At 39.9% G+C, this 23,343-nt stretch overlaps 1 annotated feature.

The window, feature by feature from the left end:
* Positions 11,404-12,057: an enhancer, noted in NCBI's record as "OCT4-NANOG-H3K27ac-H3K4me1 hESC enhancer chr12:106022357-106023010 (GRCh37/hg19 assembly coordinates)". NCBI's record gives its function as "activates a minimal SCP1, AML or CMV promoter by ChIP-STARR-seq in naive H9 embryonic stem cells {active_cell/tissue: H9 hESC(naive)}" and the evidence as "EXISTENCE:reporter gene assay evidence [ECO:0000049][PMID:30033119]".

A 23,343-nucleotide genomic window follows, 5' to 3' on the forward strand; every position in this document is an offset into this window, starting at 1 on the left:
AGGCTGACGGGAAGGGTCTTTATCAAAATGTTATTTTTCTCCAAAAGACATTCATCATTTTCAACAAGGCTTCATCCTGCTGCTGTAAAGCAAAGTCTTGCCTGAAGCAGGTTAAACTAGCAGCATTCGCAAAAAGAAAGAATCCTTCTGACTCACACCAAGGAGCTGTCACTATGATTAATTAGCTCAGACAGTCCCAGATGGGTAATAAGGACCATCACGTTCTTGCCTACTGTTTGTGCTTAGTCAATGACACGGGCTTGGGCACAGGTCCCTGGCCTGTCATTCTCATTTGCGGAAATTGCTGCGCTTACTCCTATCTTCAAGAAGTCAAGTGGCAGGTTTTGGTTTAAAACTTGGAAAGGTGGGAGCCCAGGCTAGCTCTCTGCCTAGTTTGCTCTGTAACCATGAGCAAGTTTCTTGGTACGCCTTCGACCTCAGTTTTCCTGAATTTAACATGGCTTTTTAAAGCCCCTCCTGGCCAGGTGCGGTGGCTTACGCCTGGAATCCCAGCACTTTGGGAGGCTGAGGTGGGCGGATCACCTGAGGTCAGGAGTTCGAGACCAGCCTGGCCAACATGGGGAAACCCTGTCTCTACTAAAAATACCAAAAAAAAATTAGCCAGGTGTGGTGGTGGGTGCCTGTAATCCCAGCTACTCGGGAGGCTGAGGCAGGAGAATTGCTTGAACCCAGGAGGTGGAGGTTGCAGTGGGCCGAGACCACTCCATTGCACTCCAGCTTGGGCAACAAGAAGAAAACTCTGTCTAATACACACACACACACACACACACACACACACACACACACACACACACATATAGCTTCACCTTATTGGACTGCTGTCCACATCTCCAACTTCTTCTGTTGCCCTCTCCCTCCATAGCACACTCCATGCTAGCCTTATAGAGCTCTTTTCAGCTCTTTCAACTTTCCTTTCTTCTCGTTGCCTCTAGCTGTTACCCAAAGACCTTCCCTGAGATACGCCAGAATATGATTTTCTCTCCTCTTTGATTGGTTGATTCCTGCATATCTTTCAAGCCTAATTTAAGTAGTTGCTGGAGTTTTGATAACCATTGAATGAGAAATAGGAAATGACAAAAGGTCACTATACATAAGCAATGTCTTTAAATTATTAGTTATTTTATTAATCACCATGACATCAACATACGTTTGAAAACATTCACACATGTGAATAGTGGAATACTCCATCAGAGATGAAAATCATGTATGTTTTTAATGTTTTTTTTTTTTCAGTGAGAGAGGTGTCATAATACTGCTTTTGGAATTATCGAAGGCAGTAATTCCTGCACACTTGAAAGTCTTGATGGATCTTCCTCTGGTGGGTGAAGGCCTCCTGATCTCTCCCTTAGTACTCTGCATTTCCTCACAGTGGTGCTTGTCACTGGTATTATAGTAGCTGAACTCATGGCTTCTCCAGCTGGACCCAGAGCTTCTCAAAGTCAGGAAAGTGACCTCCTTCTCGTCACTGTAGGTGCAGCACCTAACCATGGTGCCCAGCACATGGGAGAGGCCCAGAAGGTAATAAGATATAAAAGAAATATGGAGAATCCTATTAGATAAATAGCACAAAGTTTTTGAGTATAAATACTCTATCTTAATATCCTAAAGTCTGCATTGCTTTCTCCCACTCCTGTCCCCCCACACAGGCAGGATAGTCGCTGGACTTTTGATACTCACTTATTGAGAAATAAGAAATGATGGGCAGGGCATGGTGGCTCACGCCTGTAATCCCAGCACTTTGGGAGGCCGAGGTGGGTGGATCACGAGGTCAGGAGATTGAGACCATCCTGGCTAACAAGGTGAAACCCTGTCTTTATCAAAAATACAAAAAAATTAGCCGGACGTGGTGGCCGGCGCCTGTAGTCCCAGCTACTCGGGAAGCTGAGGCAGGAGAATGGTGTGAACTCGGGAGGCAGAGCTTTCAGTGAGCCGATATCACGCCACTGCACTCCAGCCTGGGTGACAGAGCAAGACTCTTTATCAAAAAAAAAAAAAAAAAAAAAAAAAGAAAGAAATGCTGAAAGGTCACTACATATTAGCAATGTCTTTAAATTAATTTGTATTTTATTAGTTCCCATGACATTAACAGACATTTAAAAATATTCATACATATAAGTAGTGGGATATTCTATCAGAGACTAAAATTCTGTGTGTTTTTAATGATTTTTTTCATTGAGAGGATGTCATAATATTGCTTTTGAAATCATTGAAGGCAGTACTTCCGTCATACCTCCATTCTCCCCTATTTTCCCTGCTGGAGTGGGTGTGGGAATCTCACAATCACTTGGAAAGTTTCTCTTGGATGAACAAATTATTGGGGGTCTCCATTATTACTATTAGTACTAGTGGTAGTATTGTGATTATTACTACTCACTTAGAAGATGGTATATAGCCCCACAGTTTGAAGAAAAGGGTGTAATTAGATTCTTTGTGTTACTTAACATAATGCCCTCTTATTTCATTCATATTGTTGCAAATGACAGAATTTTGTTGTTTTTTTATGGCTGAATAATATTTCATTGTGTACATGTGCCATATTTTCTTTATACATTCATGTGTTGGTGGACACTTAGGTTGATGCCATATCTTGGCTATTGTGAATAATGTAGCAATAAACATGGGAGTGCAGATATTTCTTGAATATATTGATGTCATTTCTGTTGGGCACATACCCAGCAGTGAATTCCTGGATCATATGGTAGTTCTATATTTACTTTTTTAAAGAATCTCCATACTGTTTTCCATAGTGGCTGTGCTAATTTACCTTCCCACCAATCCTTGCCAGCATTCATTATTTTTTGTCTATTTGATAAAAGCCATTTTAACTGGGGTGAGATGATATCTCATTATGATTTTGACTTGCATTTCTCTGATGATTAGTGACGTTGAGCATTTTTCCATATACCTGTTGGCTACTTGTATGTCTTCCTTTTAGAAATGTCTGTTCAGATCCTTCATCCATTTTTAATTGGATTATTTGTTTTTTTGCTACTGAGTCATTTGAGTTCCTTATACATTCTGGTTATGGATCCCTTGTCAGCTGAAGAGTTTGCAAATATTTTCTCCCATTGTTTATGTTGTCTCTTCACTTTGTTAATTGTTTCCATTGTTGTGCAGAAGCTTTTTAACTTGATGTGATCTCATTTGCCCATTTTTGCTTTGGTTGCCTGTGTTTTTGAGGTCTTACTCAATAAATCTTTGCCCAGACCAATGTCCTGAAGCATTTTGCCAGAGTTTTCTTCTAGTAGTTTCATAGTTTCAGGTTTTACATTTAAGTTTTTAATTCATTTTGATTTGATTTTTGTATATGATGAGATAATAGGGCTTTACTTTCATTCTACTGCATATGGATATCCAGTTTTTCCAACACCATTTGTTGCAGAGACTGTCGCTTCCTTAATGTAGGTTCTTGGCACCCTTTTAAAAAAATGAGTTCACTGTAGATGTATGGATTTGTTTCTGGGTGTTATATTCTGCTCCATTGGTCTATGTGTCTGATTTTATGACAGTATTATACTGTTTTGGTTACTATAGCTTTGTAGTATAATTTGAATTCAGGTAATGTGATGCCTCCAGCTTTGTTCTCTTTACTCAGGATTGCTCTGACTACTCTGGGTCTTTTGTAGTTCCATATAAATTTTAGAATTTTCTTTTCTATTTCTGTAAAGAATGTCATTGGGATTTTGATAGGGATAGCATTGAATCTGCAGATCACTTTGGGTAGTATAAGCATTTTAACAATGTTGATTCTTCCAATCCATAAATGTAAAGTATCTTTCCATTTTTTTTTGTCCTTTTCAATTTCTTTCATCAATGTTTTATAGTTTTCCTTGTAGAGATCTTTCACCTTTTTGGTTAAATTAATTCCTAGGTATTTTTTGTAGCTATTGTAAATGAGATTGCTTTCTTGGTTTATTTTTCAGATTGTTCACTTCTGGCTTGTGGAAATGCCACTGATTTTTGCATGTTGATTTGGTATCTTGCAACTTTACTGAATTCATTTATCAGGTTTTGGTGGAGGCAGAGTCCTCTACATATCATTCTATGTATCTGAATTTTATTTGAAATGCACATTAAACCATGGAGTGATTTTTTTCTACTGTAGTTTAGATCTATATAATTAATTCCTTGAGAGTTGAAAACTTACCTCAACTTCAGATGTGATCTTATCCTTGGTGAGGTTTCAGTGGAGGCAGAGCTTTCTACATATCATTCTAGATATCTCCTCCTTGTGACACAGCAATAATACCTTAAAGATTTTTCCCTGCCTCATGAGCAACCATTTCTCTCTGGCCTCAAGGATGTCTCATGTGTTGGCATACCCGCTGTGCTCTATGAGTCCCAAGTTGGATGGTTGAGAGATTTAGTGTGAGTTGCCGAACACAGGGCTTTTAAAATGTAAAATGTGTGCCAGACTCATGGCCTGGAGCCCCAGTCAGATTGTGCATTTTGATCTTTATACTACATAAGGAGACTCGCTTATGTGTGAAATGGGAAATCAAGGCAGGCTGTCAACATCAGTGGGTCATCAAATTATGATCTTTCTATCTTCCAAAAATCCCACAAGCCTTGCCACGTCTCTTTGTCTGAACACTGATATTACTGTAGCTCAGGTTCTCATACTTTCATCAGGACAATTTTTATAGTCTTTGTTCTTTTTTTCTCCAGCATCTCATTCTTCTGTTCTGCCTTCCATATCACTACTATAAATGTCTGTAGGTGTGCCACTCCCTTGCTCAGAAAGCATCAAACATTACAGACCACAAATTTACAAATTCCTAAACATTGTACTCGAGGTCCTTCCTGGTCATTTAATTGTCCATTTACTAATTCATCAAAGTCCCCTCCCATGAGATATCTCTCTGTGTCATGTCTTAACTTTAAATAATGATAATAACAACTATGACAGTATTAATAATGATATTTCTTTAATAATCAGGTATAATCTATTACAAGATTCACTCTCAATTTAATAATAGCTTTTCAGAAAGAAAAGAAACACTACTACACTAAATCAATGAACATTTTAATGACAAGACATACTGAAATTCCAGAAAGATTAAAACAGGAAAAAGTTGTAGGTCTGGGAGTTAAAGACATATGCTAATAGGTACCATTTATTTAGTGTCCACAAAGGGCTCAGTAATTATTTAGCTAAAGAACCTTTTCTTGATTCATTCTGCCTCCAAGAAGCTCTCAACCATGTAGTCCTGCCCTCTCTGCATGACTTTCTGGATCGCTTTCTGTGCCAAAAGCAAACTTCACACGCCTTAAGAATGTATGTTCTCCAAGCTTATTTGGCCTGTGAAAAGAATAAGTAGATTTCCTATTAGCTGTGTAATATTTGCTACATTTTAAGGAAAAAGTGCTGTTGAAAATAGGATCCAAACCAACCAAGCCCCAAGACCAAAACAGAGACCCCAAATATTTGTTCTCTATTGCTACCAGTTGAGGATTGATGATTTCTGCTTCTCAGGAAGAGCGTAGGGGGTGAAAGTGGGAGGTCAGCTCTTTTTGTCTGAGAAAATAATTTTCTTTCTTTCAAGGTATTAGCAATGCAATTATTTCATCAAGGTGAATTAGTTCTCTACTTGGGTCCCAGCCTGGGGTTTCACTTGGAATTTTTCTTCACCACTTTCGGCCTCTAAATATTTGACCGAGAGTTTGAGTTCGGATTAAGCTGTCACAGATCTTGATTTGATAAGGGGAATGAAATTAAAATGGACAAAAAGAAGTGAGGCTAATTGGCACTTCCAAGTAATTTTTCCTTTACAATTAGCCAAAGAAAATTTTGTGGGGCAGAGTGATGCTTGCATTCTCCCTGAAGCTTCTTTGTGTGTGCCCGGGAGACCCCTGGCCAGGCCTCAACCCTGTCAGTCTCTCTGAGCGCCGTTCTCAGGGTATAATTGAGCTGGGCTTTGTTGTGAGCATCTATACACATTTAATGAGACTTATGTGTCTGTGCTCAGAGGATTCCAGATCCTCCACTACATTTCATTTGGAATTAATCCGACGTGGGCTGTTCTCCAGGCTTAATAGCTGAAAAGCCCTTTCCAAAGGGAAAGAATTCAGTGATAAAGTTTAATAAAGTTTAGTATGAAAGCTAATTCTTCATAAAACCCTGAAAAATTTTCCCCCAAAGTCCAGACACCACAACGATTGTATACCTCAGGATTTCATTTCTGTCCTCCTGCCTTGGGGCCCATGGACTGCAAGCAATGAATCTGCATTGGTAAATAAAGCATAACTTCATGACAGTTTAATGGGGTTGGGGAAAATCATTGGACCTTTATTTTTTGCAAAAGTGGCTCTTCCTATGTGTCTCGCTATGGTGAACCATAATGGGGGATTTGCTAGAGATAAGATCCTTAAAGTGAGACTAAAATAAACACAAAGGTAATCTTACTCCATTTCTGGGCTTAGGCTGTCTACCAAAGAGCAGCAAGTTCATTGCAAAAATGAATGGGATTCCTGGCCAGACAGTTCAAGGGGAGGAAAGGTGGGAGCTGGCAAGAGGGGAGAGAAAAAACAAGCAGCTGGTAGCCCTCCTTGGTGTGGCCCCTCTGCCTTAGTACCCTCCCAACTGGCCACTAGTCCATCCCCACCCCACTGTGGCTTCCTCTGTTTCAGCCTCACTCAAGCATAGCTCATCTTCAATGCCATAGTTTTAAATTTGCCTCTGGACTTGAATATCCTTTTTCACTTCTTTGCTTTGCTTCTCCCTACACATCCTTCAAGCATCATCTCTTTGGAAAGCCTTCCAGCTGTCCTCTGTTTGTTCTCTCAAAATCCTCTGCTCAGTGTGCTCTCTGAGCTTGTTGATGGTGTTGAAAGTGTCATTTATCTGTATGCATAAGAACCTCTTGGCCGGGCGCGGTGGCTCACGCCTGTAATCCCAGCACTTTGGGAGGCTGAAGCAGGTGGATCACCTGAGGTCAGGAGTTTGAGACCAGCCTGGCCAACATGGCGAAACCCCATCTCTACTAAAAATACAGAAATTAGCCAAGTGTGGTGGCACACACCTGTAATTTCAGCTACTTGGGAGGCCGAGGCAGGAGAATTACTTGAACCTGGGAGGCAGAGGTTGCAGTGAGCTGAAATTGCGCCATTGCACTCCAGCCTGGGTGACAGAGCAAGACACCATCTCTGAAAAAACAAAAACAACAACAAACAAAACAAAACAAAACAAAAAACTTCTTGCCCTTGACTGTGAGCCAATTGAGGTCAAGCACTGAGTATTTATTTATTACTTCATCTGCTTATTCAATCATTGAATCAGTACTTATTCAACACATACTATGTGCTGAGTACTGTGCCAAAAATACAATGGAGCTTGTGACATGCACATCCTCTGTTTCAGACTAGTGAGGGAGACAGAAAACACAGTACCCTCCCCGCAAAAAAAAATGTGAAAAAGAAAGAAAACAGGTGCTGAGATAATGAAATGGGATGACCACCGTACCATAAACAGGATCAGGAAGCAGTTTCCTTGAGGATGTGGTATGTAAGTTAAGACCCAGAAAAGGAGAAACTAGCTTTAGAAAAGTGCATATTAACTGCTCAATGACTGATTGAATGAATGAATCTAAATGGGAGGTCCTTGTAGTCCACTGAGTTCAATTTAAAATACTGTTGAGAGTAAAGTCAGTGAGTGCCTCCCAGGGCAGTGTTGGAGAGGCTTTGCAAGTGCTCTCTGATCCGTTGGTAATGGCTGCTTGGGGCACTTTTGGGGTGGACTCTGTGGTTGTATCCAAGCTAGTGGGAAAGATTGCCCTGAACAATGAATGAGCTCTGCTATGGGTGTGGAGGTAACAGTGATTTGAGTGCTAGACTCTTTAGATCCAGATGGACTGACTGGCAGGAGGAAGCATTTCTCATTTTTCACTTCTAATCTTTCCTTTTTGCTCTCTGATTCTTCTCCCAAATTTCTCTCATTCGTTTCTGCTCCATTAAATCAGCTTATGATATCTTCACGCTTATTTTAAGATTTGCCCAACTGCATATATGTATAGTCCCAAGTATAATGCAAACACAAACACATATATATGTATGTGTACATATATAAAATATATTCATATATGCAAACATCATATGCACACTGCACACACAGGTGTATTTCCAATCAGTTCAATCTCACCTTATGTGAACATGAACATCCAATAGCGCTGCCCATTTCCATTTGATACTCAATTACTCATTCTAGTCTTGGAGTAAATATTTTACCTTATCTATATATACAACTGCTTTCAGCAGCCTGGTGAGCCTCAGGGAAATAGGATTTAGATTTGAAATATCTGGATCAAAATCCTAATTTTCCACTTATTGGTAGTAACTTATCCAAGCTTTAACTGTAAAAAATGGATTTAATAGGAATAACAGATACCACACATGCATCAGAAAAAGTTGGAAGATCAAATAAGACAATGCGTATGAGTACATTTGAAAAACTTCAGATTTAGAAAAGTACTTTTTCATAAATATATTTCAACTTATCTACTCCATATTTGCCTCTTTGTCCTTGGTACTCTGATGTGTAAGATCTTAGAAGCAGGGTTCATTTGCTTATTCTAGAAAATTGTTAAGTATAAATTGGTTCTTCTTTTTTTGTATTTTTTCTGAGGCAGGGTCTTGCTCTGTCATCCAGGCTGGAGTACAGCGGTGTGATGATAGCTCACTGAAGCCTCAATCTCCCAGGCTCGAGTGATCCTCCCACTTCAGCCTCTTGAGTAGCTGGCACCATAGGCACGCATCACCACTCCCAGCTAATTTTCAAACTTTTTTTGTAGAGGCAGGGTTTCCCTATGTTGCTCAGGCTGGTTTTGAACTCCTGGGCTCAAGCATTCTCCCACCTCGGCCACCCAAAGTGCTGGGATTACAGGCATGAGCCACCACACCTGGCCTTAAATTGCTTCTTCTTAAGTTCATTCTGATACAAATAAATGGGCTCTATACACATTTGTTTTTCCCCTTGGTAACTGAAGAAATAAATTTTAACATGATTTGGAAACTTTTTGCTCTGCTGGTTTTCATAGTTAAGTTCCTGACAGGACACCGCAAGAAAAGAAGACTATAGGCCAATATTCCCAATGAACATAGATGCAAATACCCCTAGCAAAATGCTAACAAACCAAAATCAGCCGCACATTAAAGAGATCATTCACTGTGATCAAGTGGGATTTATTCCAGGAATGCAAAGATTGTTCAACATACATAAATTAAAAAATGTAATATACCATATTAACAAAATGAAGGATGAAAACCACATGATCACCTCAGATGCAGAAAAAGCATTTGACACAATTCAATATTAATTCATGGTTAAAAAAAAAAAACCCTCTCAAAAATAGGCATAAAAGGAATGTACCTCGACATAAGAAAGGCCGTACATGACAAGCCCATAGCTAACATCATACTCAGTGATGAAAAGTCAAAAGCTTCTCCTTTAAGATCAGGAGTAAGACAAGAATGCCCATTCTCACCATTTGTATTCAATATCATACCAAAAGTCCTCTCCAGAGCAATTAGGTAAGAAAAAGAAAGACATTCATACAGAAAAGGAAGAAATGTGTCTACAAAAAGAGTCAAATCCTGTAAAATATTTGAAGAGATTTATTCTGAGCCAAATATGATGACCAATGATCCATGACACAGTCTCAGGGTTCCTGCTGAGAACATGTGCCCAAGATGATTGTACAGCTTGGGTTTTTTTTTTTTTTTTTTTCTTTTTTTGAGACGGAGTCTTACTCTGTTTCCCAGGCTGCAGAGCAATGGCATGATCTTGGCTCACCGCAACCTCCACCTCCTGGGTTCAAGCAATTCCCCCGCCTCAGCCCCCTGAGTAGCTGGGATTATAGGCACCCACCACAACGCCTGGCTTATTTTTGTATTTTAGTAGAGACAGGGTTTCACCATGTTGGCCAGGCTGGTCTCGAACTCCTGATCTCAAGTTATCCACCCACCTTGGCCTCCCAAAGTGCTGGGATTACAGGTGCGAGCCACCACACCTAGCCTACAGCTTGGTTTTATATGTTTTGGGGAGACATAAGACATAAATCAATACATGTAAGATGTATATTGGTTCAGTCTAGAAAAGCAAGACAACTTAAAGTGGGGTGGCTTCCAGGTCATAGATGGACTCAAAGATTTTGTGATTGACAATTGGTTGAAAGAGTTAAGTTATTATCTAAAGACCTGGAATCAATAGAAGGGAGTGTCTGGGTTAAGATAGGGGGCTGTGGAAACCAAGGTTCTTATTATGCAGAGGAAGCCGCCAGGTAGCTGGCTTCAGAGAGAATAGATTGTAAATGTTTCTCATCAGACTTTAAAAGGTGCTAGACTCTCAGTTAATTCACTCTTGGTTTAGGAAAAGATCTGGAAAGGGAAGGGGATTCTCTACATAATGTAGGTTTTTCCCGCAAGAGACAGCTTCACAGGCCCATTTTAAAATATGTTGAAGAAATATATTTTGGGGTAAAATACTTCAGTTTCTTTCAGAGCCTGCTGTCATCTGATGCTATGCTACAGCCAGGATGGAATTTGGTATCTTATCGCTATAAAGAGTTTGCTTTGTGGGTCTTAAGCACTGCTTTAATGTTAATGCAGGTCAGCTGTGACTAAATTCCAGTGAGAGGGAGATAATGAGGCATGTCCAACCCCTCACTTTCCATCATCACCTGAACTATATTTTCAGGTTTACTTTGGAATGCCCTTGGCTGAGAGGGGGTCCATCAGTCAGTTTAGAGGGCTTAGAATTTTATTTTTTTGTTTACAAGTAGAATTGTCTCTGTTTGCTGATGACATTATCTTATATATAGAAAACCCTGAAGACTGTTAAAAAAACTGTTAACACTGATAAACAAATTCAATAAAGTTGCAGGTTGCAAAATTAACCTACAAAAGCCAGTAGCATTTCTATACACTAATAACAAATCATCTGGAAAAGAAATTAAGAAAACTCCTTTATGATAGCTTAAACAAATAAAATACTTAGGAGTAAATTCAATCAAGGAACTAAAAGATCTGTACACTGAAAACTAAAAAACATTAATGAGAAAAAAGAAAGAGGGGGGGAGGAGCCAAGATGGCCGAATAGGAACAGCTCCGGTCTACAGCTCCCAGCGTGAGCGACGCAGAAGACCGATGATTTCTGCATTTCCATCTGAGGTACCGGGTTCATCTCAGTAGGGAGTGCCAGACAGTGGGCGCAGGCCAGTGGGTGCGCGCACCGTGCGCGAGCCGAAGCAGGGCGAGGCATTGCCTCACCTGGGAAGCGCAAGGGGTCAGGGAGTTCCCTTTCCAACTCAAAGAAAGGGGTGACGGACGCACCTGGACAATCGGGTCACTCCCACCCGAATATTGCGCTTTTCAGACCGGCTTAAAAAACGGCGCACCACGAGACTATATCCCACACCTGGCTCGGAGGGTCCTACGCCCATGGAATCTCGCTGATTGCTAGCACAGCAGTCTGAGATCAAACTGCAAGGCGGCAGCGAGGCTGGGGGAGGGGCGCCCGCCATTGCCCAGGCTTGCTTAGGTAAACAAAGCAGCTGGGAAGCTCGAACTGGGTGGAGCCCACCACAGCTCAAGGAGGCCTGCCTGCCTCTGTAGGCTTCACCTCTGGGGGCAGGGCACAGACAAACAAAAAGACAGCAGTAACCCCTGCAGACTTAAATGTCCCTGTCTGACAGCTTTGAAGAGAGCAGTGGTTCTCTCAGAACGCAGCTGGAGATCTGAGAACGGGCAGACTGCCTCCTCAAGTGGGTCCCTGACCCCTGACCCCCGAGCAGCCTAACTGGGAGGCACCCCCCAGCAGGGGCACACTGACACCTCACACGGCAGGGTATTCCAACAGACCTGCAGCTGAGGGTCCTGTCTGTTAGAAGGAAAACTAACAAACAGAAAGGACATCCACACCAAAAACCCATCTGTACATCACCATCATCAAAGACCAAAAGTAGATAAAACCACAAAGATGGGGAAAAAACAGAACAGAAAAACTGGAAACTCTAAAACGCAGAGTGCCTCTCCTCCTCCAAAGGAATGCAGTTCCTCACCAGCAACGGAACAAAGCTGGATGGAGAATGACTTTGACGAGCTGAGAGAAGAAGGCTTCAGACGATCAAATTACTCTGAGCTACGGGAGGACATTCAAACCAAAGGCAAAGAAGTTGAAAACTTTGAAAAAAATTTAGCAGAATGTATAACTAGAATAACCAATACAGAGAAGTGCTTAAAGGAGCTGATGGAGCTGAAAACCAAGGCTCGAGAACTACATGAAGAATGCAGAAGCCTCAGGAGCTGATTCGATCAACTGGAAGAAAGGGTATCAGCAATGGAAGATGAAATTAATGAAATGAAGCAAGAAGGGAAGTTTAGAGAAAAAAGAATAAAAAGAAATGAACAAAGCCTCCAAGAAATATGGGACTATGTGAAAAGACCAAATCTACGTCTGATTGGTGTACCTGAAAGTGATGGTGAGAATGGAACCAAGTTGGAAAACACTCTGCAGGATATTATCCAGGAGAACTTCCCCAATCTAGCAAGGCAGGCCAACGTTCAGATTCAGGAAATACAGAGAACGCCACAAAGGTACTCCTCGAGAAGAGCAACTCCAAGACACATAATTGTCAGATTCACCAAAGTTGAAATGAAGGAAAAAATGTTAAGGGCAGCCAGAGAGAAAGGTTGGGTTACCCTCAAAGGGAAGCCCATCAGACTAACAGCGGATCTCTCGGCAGAAACCCTACAAGCCAGAAGAGAGTGGGGGCCAATATTCAACATTCTTAAAGAAAAGAATTTTCAACCCAGAATTTCATATCCAGCCAAACTAAGCTTCATAAGTGAAGGAGAAATAAAATACTTTACAGACAAGCAAATGCTGAGAGATTTTGTCACCATCAGACCTGCCCTAAAAGAGCTCCTGAAGGAAGCGCTAAACATGGAAAGGAACAACTGGTACCAGCCGCTGCAAAATCATGCCAAAATGTAAAGACCATCGAGACTAGGAAGAAACTGCATCAACTAACGAGCAAAATCACCAGCTAACATCATAATGACAGGATCAAATTCACACATAACAATACTAACTTTAAATGTAAATGGACTAAATGCTCCAATTAAAAGACACAGACTGGCAAATTGGATAAAGAGTCAAGACCCATCAGTGTGCTGTATTCAGGAAACCCATCTCACGTGCAGAGACACACATAGGCTCAAAATAAAAGGATAGAGGAAGATCTACCAAGCAAATGGAAAACAAAAAAAGGCAGGGGTTGCAATCCTAGTCTCTGATAAAACAGACTTTAAACCAACAAAGATCAAAAGAGACAAAGAAGGCCATTACATAATGGTAAAGGGATCAATTCAACAAGAGGAGCTAACTATCCTAAATATATATGCACCCAATACAGGAGCACCCAGATTCATAAAGCAAGTCCTGAGTGACCTACAAAGAGACTTAGACTCCCACACATTAATAGTGGGAGACTTTAACACCCCACTGTCAACATTAGACAGATCAACGAGACAGAAAGTCAACAAGGATACCCAGGAATTGAACTCAGCTCTGCACCAAGCGGACCTAATAGACATCTACAGAACTCTCCACCCCAAATCAACAGAATATACATTTTTTTCAGCACCACACCACACCTATTCCAAAATTGACCACATAGTTGGAAGTAAAGCTCTCCTCAGCAAATGTAAAAGAACAGAAATTATAACAAACTATCTCTCAGACCACAGTGCAATCAAACTAGAACTCAGGATTAAGAATCTCACTCAAAGCCTCTCAACTACATGGAAACTGAACAACCTGCTCCTGAATGACTACTGGGTACATAACGAAATGAAGGCAGAAATAAAGATGTTCTTTGAAACCAACGAGAACAAAGACACAACATACCAGAATCTCTGGGACGCATTCAAAGCAGTGTGTAGAGGGAAATTTATAGCACTAAATGCCCACAAGAGAAAGCAGGAAAGATCCAAAATTGACACCCTAACATCACAATTAAAAGAACTAGAAAAGCAAGAGCAAACACATTCAAAAGCTAGCTAGCAGAAGGCAAGAAATAACTAAAATCAGAGCAGAACTGAAAGAAATAGAGACACAAAAAACCCTTCAAAAAATCAATGAATCCAGGAGCTGGTTTTTTGAAAGGATCAACAAAATTGATAGACTGCTAGCAAGACTAATAAAGAAAAAAAGAGAGAAGAATCAAATAGACACAATAAAAAATGATAAAGGGGATATCACCACCGATCCCACAGAAATACAAACTACCATCAGAGAATACTACAAACACCTCTACGCAAATAAACTAGAAAATCTAGAAGAAATGGATAAATTCCTCAACACATACACTCTCCCAAGACTAAACCAGGAAGAAGTTGAATCTCTGAATAGACCAATAACAGGAGCTGAAATTGTGGCAATAATCAATAGTTTACCAACCAAAAAGAGTCCAGGACCAGATGGATTCACAGCCGAATTCTACCAGAGGTACAAGGAGGAACTGGTACCATTCCTTCTGAAACTATTCCAATCAATAGAAAAAGAGGTAATCCTCCCTAACTCATTTTATGAGGCCAGCATCACTCTGATACCAAAGCCTGGCAGAGACACAACCAAAAAAGAGAATTTTAGACCAATATCCTTGATGAACATTGATGCAAAAATCCTCAATAAAATACTGGCAAACCGAATCCAGCAGCACATCAAAAAGCTTATCCACCATGATCAAGTGGGCTTCATCCCTGGGATGCAAGGCTGGTTCAATATACGCAAATCAGTAAATGTAATCCAGCATATAAACAGAGCCAAAGACAAAAACCACATGATTATCTCAATAGATGCAGAAAAAGCCTTTGACAAAATTCAACAACCCTTCATGCTAAAAACTCTCAATAAATTAGGTATTGATGGGACATATTTCAAAATAATAAGAGCTATCTATGACAAACCCACAGCCAATATCATACTGAATGGGCAAAACCTGGAAGCATTCCCTTTGAAAGCTGGCACAAGACAGGGATGCCCTCTCTCACCACTCCTATTCAACATAGTGTTGGAAGTTCTGGCCAGGGCAATTAGGCAGGAGAAGGAAATAAAGGGTATTCAATTAGGAAAAGAGGAAGTCAAATTGTCCCTGTTTGCAGACGACATGATTGTATATCTAGAAAACCCCATTGTCTCAGCCCAAAATCTCCTTAAGCTGATAAGCAAAGTCTCAGGATACAAAATCAATGTGCAAAAATCACAAGCATTCCTATACACCAACAACAGACAAACAGAGAGCCAAATCATGAGTGAACTTCCATTCACAATTGCTTCAAAGAGAATAAAATACCTAGGAATCCAACTTACAAGGGATGTGAAGGACCTCTTCAAGGAGAACTACAAACCACTGCTCAAGGAAATAAAAGAGGATACAAACAAATGGAAGAACATTCCATGCTCATGGGTAGGAAGAATCAATATCGTGAAAATGGCCATACTGCCCAAGGTAATTTACAGATTCAATGCCATCCCCATCAAGCTACCAATGACTTTCTTCACAGAATTGGAAAAAACTACTTTAAAGTTCACATGGAACCAAAAAAGAGCCCGCATCGCCAAGTCAATCCTAAGCCAAAAGAACAAAGCTGGAGGCATCACACTACCTGACTTCAAACTATACTACAAGGCTACAGTAACCAAAACAGCATGGTACTGGTACCAAAACAGAGATATAGATCAATGGAACAGAACAGAGCCCTCAGAAATAACGCCGCATACCTGCAACTATCTGATCTTTGACAAACCTGAGAAAAACAAGCAATGGGGAAAGGATTCCCTATTTAATAAATGGTGCTGGGAAAACTGGCTAGCCATATGTAGAAAGCTGAAACTGGATGCCTTCCTTACACCTTATACAAAAATCAATTCAAGATGGATTAAAGATTTAAACGTTAGACCTAAAACCATAAAAACCCTAGAAGAAAACCTAGGCATTACCATTCAGGACATAGGCATGGGCAAGGACTTCATGTCCAAAACACCAAAAGCAATGGCAACAAAAGCCAAAATTGACAAATGGGATCTAATTAAACTAAAGAGCTTCTGCACAGCAAAAGAAACTACCATCAGAGTGAGCAGGCAACCTACAACATGGGAGAAAATTTTTGCAACCTACTCATCTGACAAAGGGCTAATATCCAGAATCTACAATGAACTCAAACAAATTTACAAGAAAAAAACAAACAACCCCATCAAAAAGTGGGCGAAGGACATGAACAGACACTTCTCAAAAGAAGACATTTATGCAGCCAAAAAACACATGAAAAAATGCTCACCATCACTGGCCATCAGAGAAATGCAAATCAAAACCACTATGAGATATCATCTCACACCAGTTAGAATGGCAATCATTAAAAAGTCAGGAAACAACGGGTGCTGGAGAGGATGTGGAGAAATAGGAACACTTTTACACTGTTGGTGGTATTGTAAACTAGTTCAACCATTGTGGAAGTCAGTGTGGCAATTCCTCAGGGATCTAGAACTAGAAATACCATTTGACCCAGCCATCCCACTACTGGGTATATACCCAAAGGACTATAAATCATGCTGCTATAAAGACACATGCACACATATGTTTATTGCGGCATTATTCACAATGGCAAAGACTTGGAACCAACCCAAATGTCCAACAATGATAGACTGGATTAAGAAAATGTGGCACATATACACCATGGAATACTATGCAGCCATAAAAAATGATGAATTCATGTCCTTTGTAGGGACATGGATGAAATTGGAAATCATCATTCTCAGTAAACTATCGCAAGAACCAAAAACCAAACACTGCATGTTCTCACTCATAGGTGGGAATTGAACAATGAGATCACATGGACACAGGAAGGGGAATATCACACTCTGGGGACTGTGGTGGGGTGGGGGGAGTAGGGAGGGATAGCACTGGGAGATATACCTAATGCTAGATGACGAGTTAGTGGGTGCAGCGCACCAGCATGGCACATGTATACATATGTAACTAACCTGCACAATGTGCACATGTACCCTAAAACTTAAAGTATAATAAAAAAAAAAAGAAAGAAAACACAAATAAATGGAAAAATATCTCATGTTCATGGATTAGAATAAATAACATGGTTAAAATGTCCATACTACCCAAAGCAATCTTCACATTCAATGTAATTCATATCAAATTCTAATGTCATTTTCCACAGAAATTAGAAATGCAATCCTAAAGTTTCATTAGAGTAGAATATCTCTCATGCTAGGTCTCTTTTACAGAATCTAATATTTTCATGTAAAGAAGAGATAGCTTTTTTCATTTAAAGGCTACTGTTAATTCAATGGAAATTAAATACTTCAAAGTCATGTCTTGTTTCCCAGGGGAACAGGCTCAGGGAGGGAATGACTTAAACTTTCTGATTGAAAAATTGTTAGCTGTAAAGAAGTCGTATCAACCAATTTGAGAAATGTAATGTGAGACTGACCCTCCTTAGTGTAGGTTAGAAACACAAGCAGGGACTTTGAAGTGAAAGAGAACTGGTTCCAGTTTTGGCTCCCACAACCCAGTAGCTGTGTTACATGGGAAAGTTACACAACCTCTCTGAGTCTCACAGCACAGAGCCAAGCTCTCTTCTAGGCACTAGAGATACAGCAATGAAAATAACAGATAAGATTTCTGTCCTGATGGACTCTACATTCTGGGCAGAAAGTGGCAGGTGGTGGTGGTATCTGGGTGAGAACAGTAAACATTAAATAGATAAATTAATACAATCATCCTTAGTATGAAAGGACAATTGGTTCAAGAACCCCCATAGATACCAAAATCCACAGATGCTCAAGCTCCTTACATAAAATGGCATAGTGCTTGTATGTAGGCTGTGTACATCCTTCCATATACTTTAAACCATCTCTAGATTACTTATAATACCTAATGTAATTTAAGTGCTATATAAATAGCTGTTATGCTGTGTTTAAATTTGTAGTTTTTATTGTTGTATTGTTACTTTTTATTTATTTTTTTGAATATTTTCTGTCCATGCTTAGTTGAATCTGTTAATACGGAACCCATGGATACGGAGGCTTTACTGTGTTAGTGTGTTCTACGAAGAAAAATAGAAGAGAGCAAAAAAAAAAAAGAGAGTAGGAGTGTGGTTGCTACTTCATACAAGGTGCCCAGGGAAAGCCTGTCTAAGAAGATGGTATTTGAGCAAAGACCTGAAGGAAATGAGGGAGTGAGCTGTCATGTGGATATAGGGGAAGATATTCAGGCAGAGAGACCCCTAAGTGCCAAAGTCCGAGGCTAGAATATGGGCTTGGTATGTCCAAAGAATAGCAGACCATTGTAATTAGAGTGGAGTGAGAGAGGGGAGTAGTGACAGGAAATATTTTGGAAGAGTAAAAGTAAAAATACTGTAAAGTGCCTAGAGTAGCATGTGGAACGCAGTCATCATTTAATACACTTTTATTGTTTTCCCTTTTAGAAGCCAATCAGATACTATATGGTTTCTGTTAAATTACTCCCTTTTTCTTTCCTGTGGTGTCAACATCTCCATCTCCACTGGCTAATTCCTAATACTTAAACTTGCCCAAGGTTCTCCCATTTTAAAACAAAAATACCTCCCTCAATTAGTCATGAATTTATTCCCCCATCTTATTTTCACTGCAAAGCTTCCAAATAATTAGTTTATATTTGCTATATCTACTTTAAGAAAATATTCTTCAATGTATTACAGCTTAACTTTTGTCCCTGCCACACTATTGAAACTATTATCACCAAGATCACTAAAGACCTCCATATTGCTGTGTCCAATGGACCATTTTGGTATTTACTATACTTAGTCTCTCTCTGCTATTCACCATGGGTGATTTCTCTTTCTTACATCACTGTTACACTTTGCTTATTTGACCATCTTACGTATTTTCTCCCAGCTCACTGGCCATTGTTTCTCAGTCTCTTTTGTGGCTCCTCTTCCCTGCTCAACTCTTGAAAGTCAGGGTATTTGGGAGCTCCAGCCTCAGTCCTTTGCTCTTCCTTAGGAGGCCTTGCCCACACCAGCTGCTCTAACCACTATTTTAATCACTACTTTAACCACTACTTTAATGTGGATATCATTTTAAAATATCCAATTCTAACCAGAATCTTACTTTCTCCTTCAGAAGTTCTTAAAGTACCTTATATTAATTAAAGTGGGGTAACTTCTCAAACAATCATATCTCAATTTCCAGTGGATTAGCAGAGTAGAAGTTATTTTGTTCTCACAAACAGTCTATAGCCATTCCAGGATTGGCAGCAATGAATGATCAGAGTTGTGGGGCTCTGCTCATCACAGTCTACTACATATCTAGGCTGCCAGAAGCTCTTCCGTCTGCAACAGGTGATCACTCAGGACATGGACACCACCAGCTAGTAGAAGGGAAAGAGAATGGGAGATGGTATGTGGAATCTTCTGTCTGGAAGTGGTACACCTTACTTTTACTCACATTCTATTGCTTAGAACTCAGTCATATGGCAACATTAACTGAAACGAAGGCTGGGAAATGAAGCCTGTCTCTGTGACTAGGAGAAACCTTGTATGAACCTTGTATGAAAAGGGCAGAATGAAAGCAGTCTGAACTAATACATGATAGAGTTCACAGCCAGAATATAACCAATTTAACTTCCTGCTAAAACAAAAAGATAAGTACTCTTTAAGGAATCCAACACAATTCAGAGTCTTCACAACATAAAATTTGCAATAACCAGGATAAAATCAAACAACTTCTCAACATTCAACAAGCCATGAAAATGTGACCCAATTTCAAGGGGAAAAGAAATAAACAGATACCAATCCCAAGATAATCCATACACTGGAATGATCAAACAAGGACATTAAGGCTGCTTTTTTATAATTATGCTCAATGAAGTAAAGGAAAAATGCACTGGAAACAAATGAAACAATAGGAAATCTCATCAGACAGTCAACATAAAAAAAATGAAAATTTTATAACTGAAAAACTCACTATCTGAAATAAGTGTTTGCTGGATGGGCTTACGAACAAAATGGAGATAATAAAGGAAAGAGTCAGTAACTTAAAGATAGATCAATAAAAATCATCTACTTTGAGTCAGGGAAGAAAAAACAAGTAAGGATGAATAAATAAAAATTCAGAGATCCATGGGATAATATCAATAAATCTTAAATATGGATAATTATAATTCCAGAAGAGAAAAGGGGGAATGGGACAGAAACAAATACTTGAAATAATGGCTGTGTGCTTCCCAAGTTTGGTGAAAGACATAAATTTGTGAATTCAAGAGGCTCAGCAAACCCAAAGAGGATAAATAAAAAAAATCACATCTAGATACATGATGGCCAAATTATAGAAAATCACAAACAAAGAGAAAATCTTGAAAGCAGTCAAAGAAAAGGCACATTACATATGTGAGAAAATATTTCAATTGAAGTTAGGAGTCATTTGACGGCTGACTTCTTATCAAAAACCACGAGAGCCAGAAGACAATGGAATAACATTTTTAATGTGTGAAAAGGAAAAAAAAAGTTAATGCAGAGTTCTATACCTAGCAAAATTTATCCTTAAATAATATAAACAGAATAATGACATTTTCAGAGAAAGATAAGCTAAGCACATTTATTGCCATCAGACCTGCATGACAAGATGGGCTAAATGAAATTCGTTAGTCTGAAGGAAAATGATATACAGAAAGAAAAAGAGGATACACGCATCTTTAGGAATAAATAAAAAGCACTAGAAATGGTAACTCTCTTGGTTGCTATATGATTTAAATTCACAATAGCCCAATGGAGCAGTCAATAACAGTAACATTTACACATGATGAAAACATACCAGAGAGAGGTTTTAAGACTTAACCAGGCCACAGACATAGAGGTAGCAGACCCTGTATTTGAAAGATCATTATTTCTTTATTTGTTTCACTGTATAAACTTGCATCTCAAAAGCAGTTTTTAGAAAGGGAAGCAGAAGATTTCAAAGAGAAGCCACCCCTTACTCTCTCTTCTCTCTCCTGGTTAGAAGCAATGAAAATAGGGTTTTAGGAAAGAGAGTAGAGTGATAAATGCAGGGGAATTAATGGAGCACTTTCTGTGGAATGACAGTTTTTGCCTTCCATGTTTCTAGGAGTCTTGTTCAGCTTGGATTTGGTGCAAGTATTTATTGGGCACCTACTATGTTTTGTGCACTGGACTGGAAGCTGGGGAGACTGAGATGAATAAAGCATGGTCCTTGTATTAATGAGCACATGGCATTAACCTGGATTGTCTTGTGCAACCCTACATAAAAAGGCCAGTGGGCTGATGGAGCTTGCTGTATCCCAACACTCTGGAGAAGCTGCTGGCTTTGATTCAAGACGCTTGCTGTCTAATTTGTCACTCACTTTTAAGCACCATGGGCAATCTGCCCTAGTCAATTCTCCTTCCCACCATCTATTTGGCTAGACTGTACTAATTCTCTGTGTGACAATATTACTGCTTCCTTAAAGTTAATCTCTAATCTTAAAACTAAACCTGAATGTACCCTTAACCCAAATTCTTAACCCTGTTTCTATCCTTATTTCTAACCTTTACCCCACTCTAGCTGTAACCCTAACACTCACTCATTCTGCCAATCTATATCCTCTTTGTTCTTTAAGGGCAAAATCCTACCTCACTTCATCCAAGCAGGCTTCTTTGATTTCCTCAGCCCCAGAGCACTTGGGACCCACAAAGTATGGTATTTCCTAGAAAATGTACTGCACCAATGCTTTCTTTTCTCCTTCTTTATCTCTGCCTCCTTTCTTATGACAGCTCACATGTTCACATGTACTGATGGCCTACTGTATTTTGAGTACCACACTTATTTATTTATTTATTTATTTATTATTTATTTTTTTTTTTGAGACAGGGTCTGTTGCCCAGGCTGGAGTACAGTGGTGCGATCTTGGCTCACTGCAATCTCTGCCTCCCAAGCTCAAAGAATCCTTTCACTTCAGCCTCCCAAGTAACTAGGACTACAGGCATGTGCCACCACAGCCGGCTAATTTTTTGTATTTTTATTTTTTGTAGAGACAGAGTTTTGCCATGTTGTCCAGGCTGTTCTTCAACTCCTGGGCTAAAACAGTCCATCTGCCCTGGCCTCCCAAACTGCTGGGATTATAAGCTTGCGCCACTATGCCTGGTCAACATTTTAAAATGCAATCATTGCAAGTTCATATTGTTGTCCTTATTTCACAAATGAGGAAACCAAGGTTACTGAGATTCAGTCTCTTGCCCAGCATGCCAGCTATCTCCAGAGCCCATTAGGCAGTACTCTCTCCCATAGCATTTTACTGTCTCCCAGATCCTTTCGTGAATCTGGTGCAAGATAAAGAGTCATTCTCAGGAAAAATTCACACATGCATTTAAACATAAAACTTCATTCAAATTTAGGGGTTTTTATTAGTTTGTTTTCACACTGCTGATAAAGACATATCTGAGACTGGGTAAAGAAAAAGAAGTTTAATGGACTCACAGTTCCATGTGGCTGAGGAGGCCTCACAATCATGATTGAAGGCAAAAGACGTGTTTTACATGGCAGCAGGCAAGAGAGAATGAGAGCCAAGCAAAAGGGGAAGCCCCTTATAAAACCATCAGATCTCCTGAGACTTATTTACTACCACAAGAACAGTCTGGGGGAAATAGTCCCCATGATTCAATTATTTCCCACTGTGTCCCTTCCATAACATGTGGGAATTATGAGAGCTACAATTCAAGGTGCAATTTGGGTGGGGACACAGCCAAACCACAACAGGGTGCATAAGCCACAATACTCATTTGTTCCTATTCTAACAGTCTCTGAAGGCCCAATGAAGACTCCCTGCCTTATTGTGTCTCTCTTATACTGTCATACCTTACAGGCCTGGGTCCTATCTTGGTCATGTCTTGTGTCTGCTCAGAACAATAATTGTTCAGTTTCCAGTAAATATGCTGATTGGCTAAACTAAGGGAGTTTGTTTGGTATTCCTATGGTGGGTCTGCTTAGAAGCAAAAATGTAGCTGATCAACAGTTTGAAGGTATTTGTAAAACTGAAATCAACTGAATCAGGCTCAGCTATTGCAGCCAAAACTCTAATCAAGAATGCAAAGTTCAGTGGTGCCTTGTACCCCATGCTCGTCAAGTTCGCTCATGCAGGCATGTGCATGCACATTCACATGTAGCCCCTCTTAGCTCTAGCACAAGAAATGGAGGCAGATCCCTGAGTGCTCCAAACACCTGAGGGGAGAAATGAAAACCCATTTTTCATGCAATAGGTAAGTTGCATAATAGACAAC

Source organism: Homo sapiens, chromosome 12 (genome assembly GCF_000001405.40).
Source record: "Homo sapiens chromosome 12, GRCh38.p14 Primary Assembly".
Lineage (NCBI taxonomy): Eukaryota > Metazoa > Chordata > Mammalia > Primates > Hominidae > Homo > Homo sapiens.